This window comes from Homo sapiens, chromosome 2, assembly GCF_000001405.40.
Source record: "Homo sapiens chromosome 2, GRCh38.p14 Primary Assembly".
Lineage (NCBI taxonomy): Eukaryota > Metazoa > Chordata > Mammalia > Primates > Hominidae > Homo > Homo sapiens.
In genome coordinates this window covers 221,931,959-221,950,708 of record NC_000002.12, presented here as the reverse complement: position 1 = coordinate 221,950,708, position 18,750 = coordinate 221,931,959, and the positions used below count along the sequence as shown (strand labels likewise).

General features: G+C 38.4%; 1 long non-coding RNA gene and 1 pseudogene across 1 annotated transcript in view; one reads left to right on the top strand and one right to left on the bottom strand.

The window, feature by feature from the left end:
* Window positions 1–18,750, top strand: part of LOC105373900 (uncharacterized) — a 54,688-nt gene that overhangs the window by 10,151 nt on the left and 25,787 nt on the right. The gene's annotated exons all lie outside the window — the stretch shown is intronic.
* Window positions 5,898–6,534, bottom strand: LLPHP3 (LLPH pseudogene 3; annotated as a pseudogene).

Genomic DNA, 18,750 nt, shown 5'->3' with positions numbered 1-18,750 from the left:
CCATTGGCTGCAGCAGCTAGGGTCACATCCAGCTTGTCTCTCTGGGTTTTCTCTAAAATTCACCTACATTTGGAGGTGAATTTGGAGGTGAATTTGGAGGTGAAATAAGAGATTCCACCTACATTTGGAGGAACCTCACTTCCATAGAGGTTCTCTTTGATAAGTGCCACATTGCTGAAATAGTTGTCTCCACAAGTCCCAGAGGACAGGATAGTGCCTATTAACTATTAATTCAAGCAGTATTATATAGTGAAAGGGGCATGTAGATGGGATTTAGGTAACCTGAGTTTGAATTTTCACTCTGCCACTTGCTAGGAAGGTGACCTTGACCATTTCATATAATACTTCTGAATCTCAGTCTTCTCATTTATAAAATGGAGATATTCTTGCCTTGCTGAGTTAACATGGGGACTAAATCAGATGAGAGAAGTAAAGTGCTTGTCACAGACAAAGGCTTCAATAAGTAATTGTAATTATTAAGTGCATCATCATCCTGCATTCACTGAATAAACTACCTGGCATTCAGATCTCCCCTTTGGAAGTTAGTTTACCTCCCTTAGACTGATGCAGTTTCTGGACCCTGCCTTGGGATATCTTATTGCTGGTGGGGAAGAAAGGATTGCCTTTCCTAGTATAAACAGTGTAGCCACAGTACCTACATTTCTGAAAAAGTGAAACCCTACTAAACCTTAACGATCCATTTTCTCCTACTGCTTGAAATTAAATTTGCTTTCGGTGAGAAGGACACTTCTGAAATATTCATTCTAACCTTTTTTCTAAGTTGCATAGAAGACCAGCATTTTACCACATGGACTGTAGGTCACAGTCCTCAGATTCCTTCATGTCACTAGAGCTAGATGTTCTGATTTAATGAAGCCTTCGTTGTCTTTGCCTCTGTTTAATGCACAGCATGTTTCTAACATGCATTCCCTTTACCATCCGCTGGTGTTTGAAATCTCTACTTTGGATAGCGCTTTCATTCATGGAACTGTTAAAAAGATTAACAGGAAAGAGTAAATTTACATTTTCTCATACTTTCTTACAAAGATGGAAGAAACATGTCAGGAAAAAAATCTACTTTTAAAAGATAAAACATTATATCATATATGTAGAAATGTTGGTACTTCATTTAGGAATTAATATTATTTACAGTGTCTGCTAGGTATTATTTAAGGAATTGTTTATTCTATCAAGTATTCAAAACATGTACCCTCCTCCATTCCAACACGTAAAGACCTCGGCAAATAATGTAGGGTTTATAGTACCAGGAGCTTCATTTTTTAGAACTAATTTCGCTGATATATAATTGCTGGTGTAAATGTTGGCACTCCCTTAACTAAAGTTGTGGTAACGAGCCTTGCTATAATGAAAACAAATGAGATTAATGGTCTTTTCCAGGTTTTTATCGGGCAGTGGCTGTGAGATTGAAATTCCTTTTGCTTTGCCTCAGATAGGGTTGTTTTTTCCCCTAATCCAAATGAAATAATACAGAATTTACCTGCTCAGTCTTTTTTAGAATATACAAATGCTCTCAGGAGCATCAGAATGGGTATTCATGTTGAGAAGAACTGTGCAAATGTAAAGTTGTCTTTAAAAAAAAGTAGTTGCAAATTCAATAAAAAAGCATACATTTCTGCTTGTAAAATGAGCATTATTTGATGTAAATAATAAATTGGTAAAAAAAAATCCCTTTCTCTAAATATGGTGTACAGTATAGCCCAGATAATTCAGAGTTTTAATGTCAAAGCATAAAGTTATTTTAGAAATGTGTCTTGATTGACAAGTCTTTTTGCAGCAACCTAGATGATAAAATTACAGTGTATAGCTGATATTATAGCTTCATTAAAGAACTGCACTTTGTGTATTATACTATTGCTTATTTATACTATTACTGCAGCTATTTCGTATATTAGACACTAGCTTCCCACTAAGCAGTAGAACTTGTCTACCTAAAGGATTTATTTAACCGGAGTTTTAATCAAATAATAGAGAGTTTCTAATGAAGAGTTATGATTCTCCTGTGCTAAGAAATGGTACAGTCCATCAGTTTCTTCCAAGAACATATCAAGAGATTAAACGTACTTTCATTATTGTATTCCAGAACAATATTGTTGAGTAAATATTTGCACCAATATATTGCCATTTTAGTATTTCCTGATGTGTACATAGTCTCACAAGGTGAATAATTAAAGGATCTGCCGCCTTAGGTAGCACAAAGCAGTGCTTGATATAGGTTTGATTATTTCACTTGTCTCAAATAATCGATAACTGTCTTCTGTAATTATTTGCATCATCCAGCCAAGCAGAGATAAAAGATGGAACATGTTTCTTTTGCCTACTCCCAAGGAAACCCCATTATCCTTGAAATGCCACATGACCACGTAAAGCCCAGTCAGGGTCCAAAGAAGCGGTCGGCAAGGACAAGCTGAGTGTGAGCCGAAAATGAAGTTGTTACCAAACAGCAAACCGCAGTCCTCGCTTCTTATGAATATTTGAATGAGTAACTAAAAACAGCTCAGTAAACTTTAAGCAAATGTGACAGCTGAAACTGCCTGGAAACCAGAAGTCCACCAGGACAGTGATGAAAAGATCACCGGTTACTTTGTACCTCACACTGCCATGGGTCTACAAAGGGACAGTATCGGATCTCTTTTCCTCAAATATAAGTTATGGAAAATCTGATTTATCTCTGCACTTTCAGAAGCCAAACAGCCCCAAAAATCTCTTCTGTTATTTTGAATTCATTAAAATGCCATGATTTCTAACAATCTTTTCAAGGAAAGAGAATAGCCATGTTTTTTTTCCAGATCCTGAAATATTGATGTTGCTGTTGTTTTTACTCATAGAAAATTGGACATAGTCAATCTTTCATGAATATCTTTCTGCTCATTCCATGTAGCAAGAAAGACAGTGAGAACAGAGGCCCTGAAGCCTGAATTACAGATTTTGCCATATAGAAGAGTTCCAGAAACTATTTGTGGAAGATACATTTCAAAAGAAAACTAAAAAACAATTCATTTTTCCTGGGTCTTCTTTAATATATAGACAAAAAGTTGCTACTATGATTATTATCTCCAATTTACTGGAAAATACAATAGTACATAATTTTCAAGTTGATGCCTTTAACTGGAAGGAAAGGGTCAGTTATTTAGTTCCTCTAAGTGTGTATAGTAAATTCTACTTAAACCCACTTAGTTTTGTTCATTTGATGAATGCTTTAAATATAATGAGAGCCCTCTTATAGTCTTAAATTTCTAGTAAAGAAAAAAGCTATGCAGTATGTGGATCTAATGTACAGATTGCTACAGCTCAAATCTAGTAGCTAACTGAAGATAAAATCAAACTAAGGGGAACCTTGGTGAAGTTATTGTTTATCCAGTGGTTATTTGTAAAAAGTCTCTGAAACATGAAGTTTCAGTCAGCCTCTTCAGAAGTTCCAGAAGATAGCAGCCACAGACTTTATTGCTGAAGAGTTTATGAGTATTTTTAATGACAATGGGGACTGCAATGGTTTCCTAAGAGGCCACTACAGGGACCTGTCTCTTCATCATTGGAACTGAGAGCCCTAATTCCATCTCAGCTGTAAAATTACTATTCCAGTTCCTTGGAGTATCTGAGCAATGTCAACCACAACATGCTGTTCAATTTCTCCTTTCTCTTTGGCCATGTGTGGATTTAAGATTGGTGTTACATATTGCTGGATTTTAAGTTCTGCAGTGAAAATGGAAAGAAATACACAAAATGCAATTGTGGTTTATGCTCATACCGTGGACAAATGGAGAGCCTTTAGAGAGAAAGTAACTAGACAGAAGGAATGTTTGTGACGTCCACATTAGAAACCCAGACCCTGGAGACAGATAGGAACATAGTGACTCTGAAGCAGCAGGAGGAGACAGAAACCTATTTTAATATTGAGTGTTAGGCGGGATTAAGGCCATTTGCAAAATCACACTAAACCCATCAATCTCACTGGATGTCATGTTGGATTGGAAGTTAGCACTGTTGCTAGCTATGTGGGCTTCAGAAAAAACACTTACATTCTCTCACCTATATGGTGTAGATCAGGGGTCCCCAACACCTGGGCCATGGACCGGTACTCGTCCATGGACTGTTAGGAACTGGGCCACACAGCAGGAGGTGAGGGGCAGGCGAGCAAAGCTTCATCTGTATTTATAGCTGCTCCCCATTGCTTGCATTATTGCCTGAGCTCCACCTCCTGTCAGATTAGCGGTGGCATTAGATTCTCACAAAAGCATGAACCCTATTGTAAACTGTGCCTGCGAGGGATCTAAGTTGCATGCTCCTTATGAGAATCTAATGCCTGATGATCTGTCACTGTCGCTCATCACCCCCAGATGGGACCATCTAGTTGCAGGAAAACAAGCTCAGGGCTCCCACTGATTCTACATTATGGTGAGTTGAATAATTATTTTATTATATATTACCATGTAATAATAAAAGAAATGAAGTGCACAATAAATGTAATGTGCTTAAATCACCCCAAAACCATCCTGCACCCCCAGTCTGTGGAAAAATTGTCTTCCTCAAAACCGGTCCCTGGTGTTAAAAAGTTTGGAGACTGCTGGTATAGATGAGAGAACATTTATTCCGAATGGACAATTACAAAGGCAGTTCCAGGAACAGAACAAACATAGATTTTAGAGTCAGAAGATCTGGATTTGCATTCCCGATCCATCATGTACCAGCTGTGTAAGTTTCCTTGAACAATCTTCATTTAGGATCCATGGATAGTTCCCCTGCAAGAAGGCTGTGAAAAACAGAAGAGGTGATCTCCAAGGAGTGTCTACACATGCAGGTGTTCTGGTAAAAGTTAGTTTTCTTCCTCTCTTTATTCTAAAGTCTTTTCCAATTTGAAATTCTACAAAGTACTAATGGACTAAGATCAAGTTTTCCTGCAGCATGCTTGAATAGGTTTGTAACTGCTGCTGTCTCAGGGGTATATGTGACACCTGGCGCATGTGAAGGATTTTAAAATTTAATGTTAGGGATGCCTAGCAAATATCAAGAGAGGAGTGAGAGGTGAAGAAGGACCAGTTGATATCATCAAATATGCTATCTTTGATACTTGCTCTTTTGTTTTAGAGTCTGTGATGTAAAGCTGTTTTGTATCACAGTGTAGTAGTATAACTTTGAAGGTCATAAGTAGGTCAGAGTTTGAAAATGAAAGTTATTTCCAAACATGTACCGTGGGACATGAATATTCGTGGACTTGTACTCATTTTTCATTCATTATATTGCTTTTCAAGATAAATTTTAAAAAATCTTATAATTAAGAGATCTTAAAAGTGGACTCAGAAAACAAGAGAATACACACTAGAGGTGTAATTCAGCATCTAGTTGAAGTAGTTTCTCAAAGGTTTTACTTAAATGTGTAGGAAAAATCCCCTCTGAAAACAAACAAAAACCCCAAACACCTGTGTTACAAGTCTTGTTAAAATAATTCAGCAATAAGACCCAGCAATCCCATTTTTAGATATTTGACCTGAAGAAATAGCATCACAATTGGGGTTCATATGTTTAACGCAGCATTTTCTTTAAGAGTAACTAATTGGAACTGACCTACTTTTCCCTCAATAGGAGAATAAACAACAGTACATACGTACTATGAAATATGATATTGCCATTAAAAAGAACGAGGCAGATCTATGCATGCTGCCATAGGAAGACATCTCTGATTTATTGTTAGGTGAAAAACAGCAAATTACTGAGCAATTTGCCTAGTATGTACCCATTTTGAAACAAAAAACATTTTTGTTTATATATGTGCATAAATGTATCATACAAATGAGTGTGTGTGCATGCGTATTAGGCTAACATAGAAAAAGATTTGAAATAATACTTGCATAGCTATTTACAGTGACAAATGTTTTTTTTTTTGTATCAAAGAAAATATTTTATTCAAGTTCCCAAAACAAACTTGAGGAGTTATGCTGGGTTTGAATTGAAGAAAAAAGGCCAAGTTAAAATAGGAAAACAAATGGTTTTCATTTGGTGGCAGTTGAAATAAAAGTATACACGTGTATACATTGTAATCCGTCATCTATCCCATGTGGCATTTTCCAAGGTTTTAAGAGTCTACCAGGCCAAACCCTTTGCCACTTTCACTGCTTTTGCTTTGTTTTTCTCCTTTCTTTTCTCTCGCTTTGCCTTTAGCCTTTTTCTTTGCCTTTGGTTCATCCATATTGGGTACTGTCCATGCTGGTCTAGAAGAGTCTTTTTGTTTCTCTTAATATCAGTCTCCATTTTCATGTCATCTTTTTCATCTTTTACCTCACATTGCATTTTCTCTTGGCAATGTTTGGGTTTGGGTACCACCACAGTTGCTATCTCTTGAACATCTTTCATTAAAACGTCATCGTCTAGTTTGAGAATACTTTTAAGCCTGCTGACCTCCTCTGGGGCATTCTTTTTTCTCTTTTCAGCACGCATCTTTCTTTTCCACTTACTCCATAAGCTTTTAGCCATATTTTACCTGAGAAACGAACACACACACTTCAGGATCACGCCGACCGGCGACAACTCTTGAGGTTAGTGGTTTTTGTCTTTATAATGCAATTCTATAGTGATGTAACTTATTACCACAAATGTAATAATTTTACAATCAAAAATAAAATGTAAATATGAGTCTTGGTCTTGAAATGACTTGGCAAATCAACACATTTCTTCTGCTCCTGTCCCCTTTCCCACCTCCCCAGTTATTTAACACTGAAATATTAATACTTCAAAGACCTAAGGACTAAATATAAAATAAATTAGTTCTTAGTGTTAGCTCTTGTGTTATTCTGCCCTGAATCCAATCCTGACACTTCCACTAGCTACTTGTGTATTTCAGAAAATATACAAGTTCCAATGCTCAGCTTCCTCACCTATTAAATAAAAAAAAAAAAAAATTGACATAAACAAAGGAGTTGGGCAGAGAAATTTTCTTCCATTTCTGAGATACTGTGTTTTCTGTTGAAACAAAATAAATTTCATGGTCCTTTGCAGCATAATACTTTCTCCCATGTACTTCACACTTTATAGTAAATAACTCATTACTTTACTGGAGGAATGACTAACAATGATATCATAATGCTCAATTTAGTCCTGATTTTTTTGTTGTTGTTCTGAGTATCTTGAATGTGAATCTGTGGACCACTAACACACCTTCAGACCTTCAAAACTTCTGCACAAGGAAGGTTCAGAGGTTCTGACCTTCCTTTTGGAAAATGGTGACCAAGTGCATCCTCATGTTAGGGTTGACAAGTATTGAGGGTACACTGTGCTCTTCTCATTCTCTCCTGGGCTTGCTTGCATTTGAAGCTAGCTGCCCTTTTCCTACCCTGCAGAAGGCTCAGAATTGTGGCTGGCAGACTTCCTGGAACATTGTGTCACAAACCCTTGTTCTTTTTATTGCTCAGCTGGTCCAGGGCATATATTTGCAGCAAGCTGGCCTTTCAAGAGAATGCATTATGAATAAAGGCCACTGCGATTTGTTTGACACCATTAAAGTTATTTTGCTTTCTCTGACCAGAGTGAGATCATCAATTACTTTCCTTCTCTGAAGAACTGAGTAAACATGACTCTAAGGATCACCCATTACTTGCAGAGCAATGAGAGGCACAGAAGACGCTTTGCCTGCCCTTGGAAGTTTAAATTTGTATTGTGGGAGACAGAAGGGCTAAAAAATAAATCACAAATGTAGAATGTGATGTGCCATTTAAAAAAGCAGCAAAGATAAATGTACTGAACAAAGAGATATGAAACTATGTTCTGAGGAAGTACTGAAGTGGCTTCTTGAGGACTTTAGAAAAGCACTTTCCCCAGAAACACATCAGGGAGAAAAGTCAGAGATTTGTATGATATCACTATGATAAAGGAATTTCTAGAACAATTTTTATAGTAATAGTTTAGGCCACATTGGACTGATTTGTATTTATCAAGCTAAAATAAAGTTATCACTTTTATATTTCCAGTAGATTAATACTCTATAGGAGTTCAGATGGCCAGAAATTGAAGAGGTGCTCTCTATGGCAGTCTTCCTCTATGTGGGGTCTAAACAAGACCACCTATTGTGGAATAAAGAAAGAATACTAGATCTTTCAAAATTTTTTTTTACACTGTTCTCTAAAATGTTCTACCTTTGTATTTGTTTTATAACAGTCATGACACATTAGTAAATATTACAAGAATATAATTTCTAAATATACACTCATGGTTAGGGTTGCATACCTAAAGACACTTTAATTTGTGAAATATGTATTTGTTAAATTTTACTTTAACTCAGTTATTTTGAACATTTTGATTAGTAGTTTAAATGACACTTGTAGAAATATGATAGTCAAAAAATTTAGAAATCAGTGCTTTTGAAAAAAATAACTCCTAATTTAATTTGTACAGTAAAATATAATCTTTTTTATAAAGGAAGCTTACTCTTTTAAAAGCAAATCTAGTGTTTCTTCTGAATTTCTTACATATCAGAACAATCTTTAGTCTGAAAAAGTTGGCAGAAAAATCCATGATTAATAGATAAATAGTATTCTTTTCAAATGCTTCTGGCTTTTAAGCTAAGCCACCAGGGATTTGCATGTGGGGAAAGAGTTTTGAAGGTAAGAGGTTTTTCTTCTTATGATTTGAATGCAATGCTTTTGGGATTTCTGTGATTTATTGGTAGTAAAGTGACTTTGGTAGGATGAGCTACTTGAAGCTTTTCTTGTCACTGTGCTGTTACTAATACCTGGAATCCACCCTATCTCCAGAGTCCATCCCCTGCACCAGGTAGACTGTGGTCATTTGGTGCCACCAGCTCTGTCTTTCCATTTTATTCTCTGTCAGGTTCCCTCTCACACCCTGCAGCAGGTGGGTTATTCTTATTGAATTCATGTGTAATTATGGAAAATTTCTTGAATACCAATATGACATTTAGTTTTGATCAAGGGATTCCCTACTAATTCCGTGGCTCATGGAAGGGGTGGAGATTTCTATCTTCTTTCAAGAGTACCTTTTCAAGAAAGGGTAAATTGGCATTTGGACAAAACTGTTGTAAACTGGCACATCCTCTTGATTTATAAAATGATTTTCTCTCCTTCAAATAAAAAATGAGAATGGAATTTTATTAATGGAATAGTCATGGTGCAAGATATTCTTAATATCTGTATTAGCCTGGGGTCTCCAGAGAAATAGAACCGAGAGAGAGAGAGAGAGAGAGAGTGTGTGTGTGTGTGTGTGTGTGTGTGTGTGTGTGTACACACCCAGAGAGAGGTTTTAAGCAATTGGCTTACATGATTGTGGAGGCTGTCAAGTTCAAAGTCTGCAAGGTAGACTGGCAGGCTGGAGACCCAGGAAAGAGGTGATGTTGCAGGTGGAGAACAAAGGCCGTCAGCTGGCAGAATTCTCTCCCCTGGGGACATCAGGCTTTATTATTGTTGTTGTTATTATTATTATTATTATTATTATTATTCTTAAGGCCTTCAACTAACTGAGTAAGGCCCACCTACATTACGGAGGGTAATCTGCTTTACTCTAAGTCTACTGATTTAAGTGTTAATCTTATCTAAAAAAATGCCTTCACAGAAACATCTAGAATAATGTTGGACCAAATATCTGGGGACTGTGGCCTAGCAAAGTTGACACATAAAGTTAACTATCACAATATCTTGAAAAACCTCTACTCTGAACTTTCTTTCTTTCCTTCTTTCCTTCTTTCTTTCTTTTCTTTCTTTTTTTCTTTTTCTTTCTTTCTTTCCTTCCTTCCTTCCTTCCTTCTTTCTTTCTTTCTCTCTCTCTCTTTCTTTTCTTTCTTTCTTTCTTTTTTTTTTGACCGAGTTTCACTCTGTCACCCAGACTAGAGTGCAGTGGCGTGATCTCGGCTTACTGCAACCTCCACCTTCCAGGTTCAAGCAATTGTCTGCCTCAGCCTGCCGAGTAGCTGGGATTACTACTGCACATTACATATTCTACAAAATTCCTCCTTACACACCCCTCTGTACTAGAAAATAATTATAGTTCAGTGATGTCACTTCAACAAAAGCATTATGGTTATTTCTTTTACAGAGAAGTCAGAATAAGCTTTCCTTATTAAAGGCATTATTATATCCTTTTCAGAGAAGTTAGAAATAAGCTTTCCTTATTACTAAAGGCATGAACTTGCTGTCTAAAACCAAACTGTTTACCAGTTTTTCTCTCAAGAGCCAAAATGAGGAGGGTGTGGTATGGATTAGAGTGCTGGATGCCCGCCCAAGTATGGAGTTCAGAAAAGACCAGCAGGTGACATGAGGCAGAGGAAGTCTCCCCAAGCACCTCCCCAGTGGGCAAAGCAATCATTTTCTCTTTTACCAGATTCATACCTTTCTAAAGAAATACATTTTTGTAAATGTCAGCCCTTTTTAAATTGGAAAACACCCAACTACTGTGAGAAATTAATATTATTAAAAGTCGCAGTTAGCCCTCACATCCAAAATATCTTCCAGAGTTCAATTCCAAAACTGCATCTCCCAAAGAGCTCACATTTCCTTTCCCTGAATTGGATATGCCTATAGATAAGCATTAGAAAAAGAATATTTCGGCTGGGTGCGGTGGCTCATGCCTGTAATCCCTGCACTTTGGGAGGCTGAGGCGGGTGGGTCACCTGAGGTCAGGAGTTAAAGACCAGATGGCCAACATGGCGAAACCCCATCTCTACCAAAAATACAAAAATTAGCCAGGTGTGGTGGTGGGCGCCTGTAATCCCAGCTACTTAGGAGGCTGAGGCAGGAGAATCGCTTGAATCTGGGAGGCGAGGCGGTGGTTGCAGTGAGCTGAGATCCGTCACTGCACCCCAGCCTGGGCGACAGTGCGAGACTCCGTCTAAAAAAAAAAAGAAAAAAAAAAAAAGTCCAGGCGCAGTAGCCCACGCCTGTATTCCCAGCACTTTGGGAGACCGAGGCGAGTGGATCATGAGGTCAGGAGTTCAAGACCAGCCTGGTCAAGATGGTGAAACCCCGTCTCTACTAAAAATACAAAAATTAGCCAGGCGTTGTGGCGGGCACCTGTAATCCCAGCTACTCGGGAGGCTGAGGAAGAGAATTGCTTGAACACAGAAGGCGGAGGTTGCAGTGAGCCGAGATTGCAACACTGCACTCCAGCCTGAATGACAGAGCGAGACTCCGTCTAAAAAAAAAAAAAAAAAAAAAAGGAAAAAAGAAAAAAGAAAAAGAATATTTATTTTCTTTCATTTCACATTACTATAACACAATGTTCTTTATTGTTGAGTTGACATTGCTGATGCATCTGAGGTGCCCAATGCCATTTGATTCTTCCACCAGGAATAAGCCAAGCCTCTGCCTTCCACTCGCTTTGAGGGTCACCTCCTTTGGTATATATTGGGGCATAGAGTTGGACTCCTATCCCTCCCGAGTCATCTCTTGCTCTATCTCACTGACTTTGGCTCTGCAGGAGTGACTGCTCAGTCCTGTCCACTGCCTTTGATGGCCTAGAACTCCTGGCAGTGTCCCTTACTGTCGGGTTGCATCCTTCTTGGGCCCAGCAAAGGAAGAATATGGGGCAGAACCCGTCTGCTTTTACCACCTTGTACTTTGTCCTCCACACTGCATTGTGCACAAGTGGTTATATGACCTTCTCAAATGCTGTTAGGTGAGGGTTGGGGGTCAGAAGGAATGAAAATGAAGATGGGAGAATATGTGAGGGAAACTGAGCCCCTAGCAAACCAAAGTCCACTGCAGTGGGTCCACTGCAGTTCCTAGCTTTCCTTTCTTCCCCAGTGTTCAAATTTGTTTTCTGTTGAAAGAGAGCTCCCTTCTACTTCATCTGTCTTTTGAAAATGCTGCCTACTCACTATGGAGTCATCTCATCCCATCAGTCTGTAAGTCTAAACTAATATCCTGGAGGCTCCAATAGGGCATGTGCTACTCTGAGCCTCACCTCCAGTCCAGTCCAGGTGTGAACATTTAAGTTTAGCCTCTTCTATAGTTTCCCACCAGTGTGAGTTGCAGATAGGTCTCCTAATTCTTCTGTTGTCCAAGTAGGTAATCATTAGGTAATCACACACACACACACACACACACACACACACACACACACATCAAGAATAACTGAACTCTCAGAGACAGTGAAATCTAAATATATATGGAAATGACATTTTTCTAGCTGTTTCTTAGCACAACTTTGCTCACAAAGGATGCCAAATGTTTACATATTATGCAGAACAGACATAGTTACTTTTTCTTTTCAATTTCACACTGTGCAGCCGGGCTTGTGAGTGTAAAGACTGGCTAAAAGATTGTGGCCATTACTGAGCCATTTGCCCAGTGAGGAATCTCCTTAGGACACAAATGTCCAGCTTTACAATTACCCTTGTTTTAAGCTAGCTCAAATCAATTTTTAAAAAATGCATTGCCATTCCATTTTTCTTTGTCAACAGAAGGAATATAATACAAGAAAGTTGTCTGTTATTAAAATGTCATCATGGTGGTTGTGGCAATGGTGATGGTGAGACTCATGATGGTTTTCCACTTGAGCAGGAAAATGAGAGGTTACATTGAGGTGGTCACTATTTTATCTAAAATAAATGAGATATTTTAAAATTTCTTTATATAGAGAAGTTAGAAAAATATTTTACTGACTGGTAATTTATTCCCCCTGAGGGAAAGAATTATATTTGGGGAAAAACCTTGATAAACTCCTTGAAAGTGGAAGGTAAGGCATTTAGAAATATATTAGAAGGAGGAAATAAACCCTGGCCAAACTTCTTTTTCAAAAAAATAGGATTGATAGGGAGAGTGGGCAATGGAGAACAGAGGAGATTTAATGAGGTAGAAGGGAAAGTAGGAGGTGCTGGGTCAACTTATAAAAATTTGGATCTTGAGTTGACAATAATCATTAAGGTTAAGAATAGAGAAAAGTGATGTCCAATTTTCAATTGTCCATTGACAATTTCTCTAAGGCGAGGCACAGTGGCTCATACCTGCAATCCCAAGCATTTTGGGAGACCGAGGTGGGAAGATTACTTGAACCCAAGAGTTCAAGAATAGCCTGGGCAACAGAGGGAGACTCTGTCTCTATAAATAATAAAAAAATTAGCTGGGCATGGCAGCGCATGCCTGTGGTCTCGGCTACTTGGGAAGCTGAGGCAGGAGGATGGCTTGAGTCTGGGAGGTCAAGGCTGCAGTGAGCTATGATCGTGCCACTGCATTTCAGCGTGGGGTAGTTGACAAAGTGAGACCCTTTCTAAAAAAAAAAGGAAAGAAAAGAAAAGATCTCTAGCATTTTCTCATTTTCTTCAGCAAATGTTTATCTCTAAGAGCTGCCTTGTGTGGGTGAGATGGAGGAGTGTGTGTTAGTACTGAGGGGTTGGCAATGTGTAAATAGAAGACACCAAAAAAAGAATAAAGGGCCCAGTCACAAGACACAAAATGCAGGAGAATATTGAATAGAGCTGGAAATCGGAGCCAGGGCTAACAAAAGAATAATAGAAACCCCAAGAAATTCTAAATATGCCCATGAAAACCTTCAGATTTCCCGCAGTATGTAAGCTCATAGTTGAAAATCATCTTATACAGATTTTAAGTGGCAGGGGTGAACCAAGATCACACCTTGGTTGAATTGTTGTAACTTAAAAGGATGACTCAGGAGCACTCATTGAAATAAATGCCAAGTCTCATTAGCAATATACGACAAAATAGGTGGTTTCGAGGCAGTGAGGCAATAAATTGGGTGTACACTTTATCTTAAGTTCATTCAATTGAATGGAACAAAGATGTACCCAGGTAATCATAAGTCTGTGTTTTTTCAGAAATTTCTATCAAATTACCATTAGCTACAGAGAAGAGTAAATTTTTTTAAATTTTTTTTAAATTTTTTTTTTTTTTGAGATGGAGTTTCGCTCTTGTCGCCCAGACTGGAGTGCAATGGCGTGATCTCGGCTCCTGCAAGCTCCGCCTCCCGGGTTCACGCCATTCTCCTGCCTCAGCCTCCCGAGTAGCTGGGACTACAGGTGCCTGCCACCATGCCTGGCTAATTTTTTTTTTTTTTTTTGTATTTTCAGTAGAGACGGGGTTTCACTGTGGTAGCCAGGATGGTTTCGATCTCCTGACCTCATGATCCCCCCACCTCGGCTTCCCAAAGTGTGGGGATTACAGGCGTGAGCCACCGCGCCCAGCCGAGTAAATGTTTTTTCTCAGGAGTCTGGAGCTCAGCCTCTTATAGAGTGTTGCAGTTCCCCCCACACTTCTCCATCAAGTCTTTGAAAGCTCATTAGGAAAAAAATCCTAAACAGTCATTAGATATTTGTATAACACAATATAATCAATTCTTTAGTTCTTACATTGAAATTTCTACACACAGTATTTATGGGTAAAACCGACACTCTAAGAAAATTCTCCACTCCCTGTATCCAAGCCTACTCTGTATTCTCCTCTCAGCTTTTAAAGTACATATTTTAACCTATTTATTGACTGCCTTCCCAGGTAGTATGTAAGATCCAGAAGAAGAGGGAAACTTCATTTTATTTATTGCTATAACCAGGGTAGGAGTTTAATACACATTTATTGAGCACATGCATAATCTTTGGCTTGCATAATCCTGCCACACTTCCCTTTATATCCCCAAAGTTATAAGTAAACTAGTCAGAGAAGTCTTGGGTAGTAGAAGTATCAAAAAAAAATCCCAACTCTTCTGTTTCAGTGTTCAGCCATTCTGTTTTCTCTCCCAGGCCATAGGTGGCACATAAGGAGCCTTGGTGCAAACTAGAAAAGGTGCTTATGGCTAGGGGGAGCTGAGCTAGGTCTACCTGGTACTACCCAATGATCTGGTCTCTCTGGATCTCCAAGGTGTCTCTGATGGTCTCTGCCTCCTACCTGAGCTCCGGAAGCAAGGAGAGATTGGACTGGCCCACACAGCCACCATCTGATAAAGCACCTCTTTTTTTTTTCTTTTTTGGAGACAGAGTCTTGCTCTGTCTCCCAGACTAGAGTGCAGTGGCGTGATCTCGGCTCACTGCAACTTCCGCCTCCCGGGTTCAAGCAATTCTCCTGCCTCAGCCTCCTGAGTAGCTGGGACTACTTGTGCCTGCCAGCACGCCTGGCTAATTTTTGTATTTTGAGTAGAGATGGGGTTTTACCATATTGGCCAGACTGGTCTCGAACTCCTGACCTCAGGTGATCCACCCTCCTCAGCCTCCCAAAGTGCTGGGATTCCAGGCGTGAGCCACTGTGCCTGGCCAATAAAGCACCTCTTTATTGGGCTGCTCCTGGCCCAGGCTTCAATCCTTTGTCCTATCAACGAAGGCCACGTGGCAGGATTTCCTGGTTTTCTCAGAAGAAGATGACAGTAGACTATGTAATTTACAGGCTTGGTCTGCCCTGGCTTTCTGAAATAAGAGGGCTACAAATTTTTAATAGCAAACCTATGTCTACAGTTTAGAGAAACAACCATAGATACTGTCACATTTTGCAAGTGAGAAGGCAAAAAAAACCTTGTCACAGAGTTAATATCAAAAATGTCTGGAAACTTACTGTGGGTTGCTTTTCTATGTTATACTTGAAGTATGTCTGTAACTGTCACTTTCATTTTATGTTCACAAACCCTGTGTTGTGTTGTTATCTTATTTGATGGCTGAGGAAACTGAGGCCCAGAAAGGATCAACTCTTCTAAAGTCACACAACTATCACATGATAGACTCAAGAATCAGAACACAGATGTTTTGTTTTCTCCTTGTCTGTTATTTTTCATTTTTTTATTTTTTACCACAGCACTTTTATTTCCAGGATAGCCCCACAGGATGAGGTTGTTAGAGATGGTGATTTAGATGATATAGTTTTCTTTTATCTCCAGTTGTGTTTTATTTTTAAAACACATGAACAACTGCCTAAAATTATTTAATGGGACAAGCATGACTCAAATTGTAGTATTCACTTATTTTTATCACTTCAATATTCACCCAATCCCTTCATTGTGATGGTTCATCCTTGTAGAGGATCTTCCAAAATCATTGGATTGGTTTTTTTAAAAAAAAAAATCCTTGCTGGGAGTGGTGGCTCATGCCTGTAATCCCAGCATGTTGGGAGGCCGAGGTGGGTAGATCACCTGAGGTCAGGAGTTCAAGACCAGCCTGGCCAACATGGCAAAACCCTGTCTCTACTAAAAATAGAAAAAAAATTAGCTGGGTTTGGTAGTGGGTACCTGTAATCCCAGCTACTCAGGAGGCTAAGGCAGGAGAGAATTGCTTGAACCTGGGAGGGGGAGGTTGCAGTGAGCTGAGATCACACCATTGCGCTCCAGCCTAGGCGACAAAAATGAGACTTCATCAAAAAAAAAAAAAAAAAGAAAAGAAATCCTCTCTAAAAAAACAAAATTTTAACTGGGTTGATATTTATATATTGTGCTATCTTTTTCTCCTTTTGACTCCTAATACCAGAGCAACCTCTAAATGGAAATATTCTGTTAGGTATCTCTCAACCTTAGTTCTCAAGAACAAAAGTAAAGTCAAATATGACTGATGTCTTTTTTAAAGATCTGCTGACAGATTTTCAGTAGCCCTGTAAAAATCTCTTTTTAACCCCGGGTGCAAACGTCCAGCTCTTCATTTAAAGCCATTTGTCTAGGAGATGCCAGACCCAGTAAATAGTTCTGGCCGTATAGTTTGTAGACTCCTTAAATAATATGCATATCACATTCATAGTGTGTATATCATATGTCTTTTTGTTTTTATTCACTATTTTGCTCATAAGCTGCTTTCATATTTTCAGTTTGACTTTTGCCTCATTAAAAAAAGAAAAGTCAGTTTGTCCCAGGTACACAACATAATAAAAGGCCTATATTCTGCTTCAGATTTATGTAATCGTATTCTTTCATACCCCACAAGACTAGAAGAAAAGTTGCAAAAATAATAGATAATGTTTCTAGAATGCTTTTAGGTCTTCTGAAGGAGGAGCTGTGAAAATGCAAAGTGATGATGATGATGATAATGTGCTTATCGTTAATGATGTGATTGAAGAAGAAAAACCATTTTGGTTTTCAGAAAAATAAGTGAATATCCTTAGATAATAGTGACAGACAAAAGAAAAGTAATATTCTTATAAAACTGTATAATGTAATATTTCTTCACAATTGCTGAACTTTGAGTTTTCATTTTCAGTAAGTCAAGGCATCTTCTGATTTGTCAACCTAGCATTATAAAAAGACTTCATGTAGCTGCTATAGGGAGTAAATTCTTTTCTATGTGTCTGCTTGTTAAGGGGCTACCATTTTAGAGAATGTTTAGTTTAGGTTGCTCAATAAAGCCAACTAGAAAAATCAGCCAATGCATCCTGTTTTCCTTCAGATAATTTCTGCAGTTCCAAGGCCCTGATGGGAATGTTGCATATAAAGGAATTCAGAGTCTGAGGGGATAAGGAAACAAAGACTTACTGAGAGTCTGTATTATGGACTAAATGTTGTGCCTCCCCCAGATTCGCATGTTGGAACTTGAACCTGCAGTGTGTCTATAATTGGAGATGGGGCCTCTAAAGAAGTAATTAAGGTGAAATGAGGTCATAAGGGTGGAACACTGATCCTATAAGATCAGTGTCCTTATAACAAGAGACACCAGAGAGCACTGGCTGCTTCTCTCACACTTCCCCCTGTGCACAGTGAGAAGGTGGAATAGAGACTTCACCAGAAACTGAATCCTGTGGGAAACTTGGTCTTGGACTTTTCAGCTTTCAGAGCTGTGAGAAAATAGATTTATGTTGTTTAGGCCATCTAAGTTGTGGTATTTTGTTAGGGCAGCCCCAGCTGACTTCTGCAGTCTGCTACTGCTAATACTGAAGGACTGAAACGAGGTGTTCTCAAGAACTTGGAGGTGATGGAAACAAGACTCTGTCTGTGGCTCCAAGACCAGCAACACTGGACTGAAAGAACATTGACAACATTAATGATATCATTATTCTATTCATTTTGTACCTACTATATGCCAGGCATGTGCCAGGCACTTTCTTTAATGTGTAAGTCATTTATTATACCCATTAGACATTTACAATGATTAAAGAAATACTTATTCATCAAAAGCAGTGACCATTGCCTAGTGAAACTCTCATGGATTATATTTCACTTAAAATGTACATGGTGGCCTTTTTTAGTGGCCTTTTTTATCCTTTCTCCAGGATCTGCATACATGGAGTGTCATATTTTCCATCTGGTGTTTTATTGTCACTCTTCTTTAACTCCAATTCTGCCTTTTCTTTCTTCAGAACAGTAATATGTACAAAATATTGCCAGTATCAAAACCCTAAGGGTGAGCAGGATTGGGGGAAAAAAATCTCAACTAAGCAAATAATTAACTTCTTAAATAAAATAAGATTTATAATGTCAAAAAAGATCCCTTATCATATATAATTTTAGAGTAGGTAGTTAGATTTTTATTTATCAAAAATGTATAATATATGTGAATTTGGTGATACCCATGCTTGCCATTCTCACATTTTCATAGCATTTTTAAATTGTATTTTCTTTTAAATTTATTTTTATTTTTTTATTGTACTTTAAGTTCTGGGATATATTTGCAGAATGTGCACATTTGTTACATAGGTATACATGTGCCATGGTGGTTTGCTGCACCTATCAACCCATTAAATAGGTTTTAAGCCCTGCATGCATTAGGTATTTGTCCTAATGATGAGCCAGGCACTTTACAAGCATTAAATCATTTAATCATTCGACAGCTCTATTAATAAGTCTCTCTTTTTATTTGTGCCTTTTAAATGTAGTCGTAGAGTG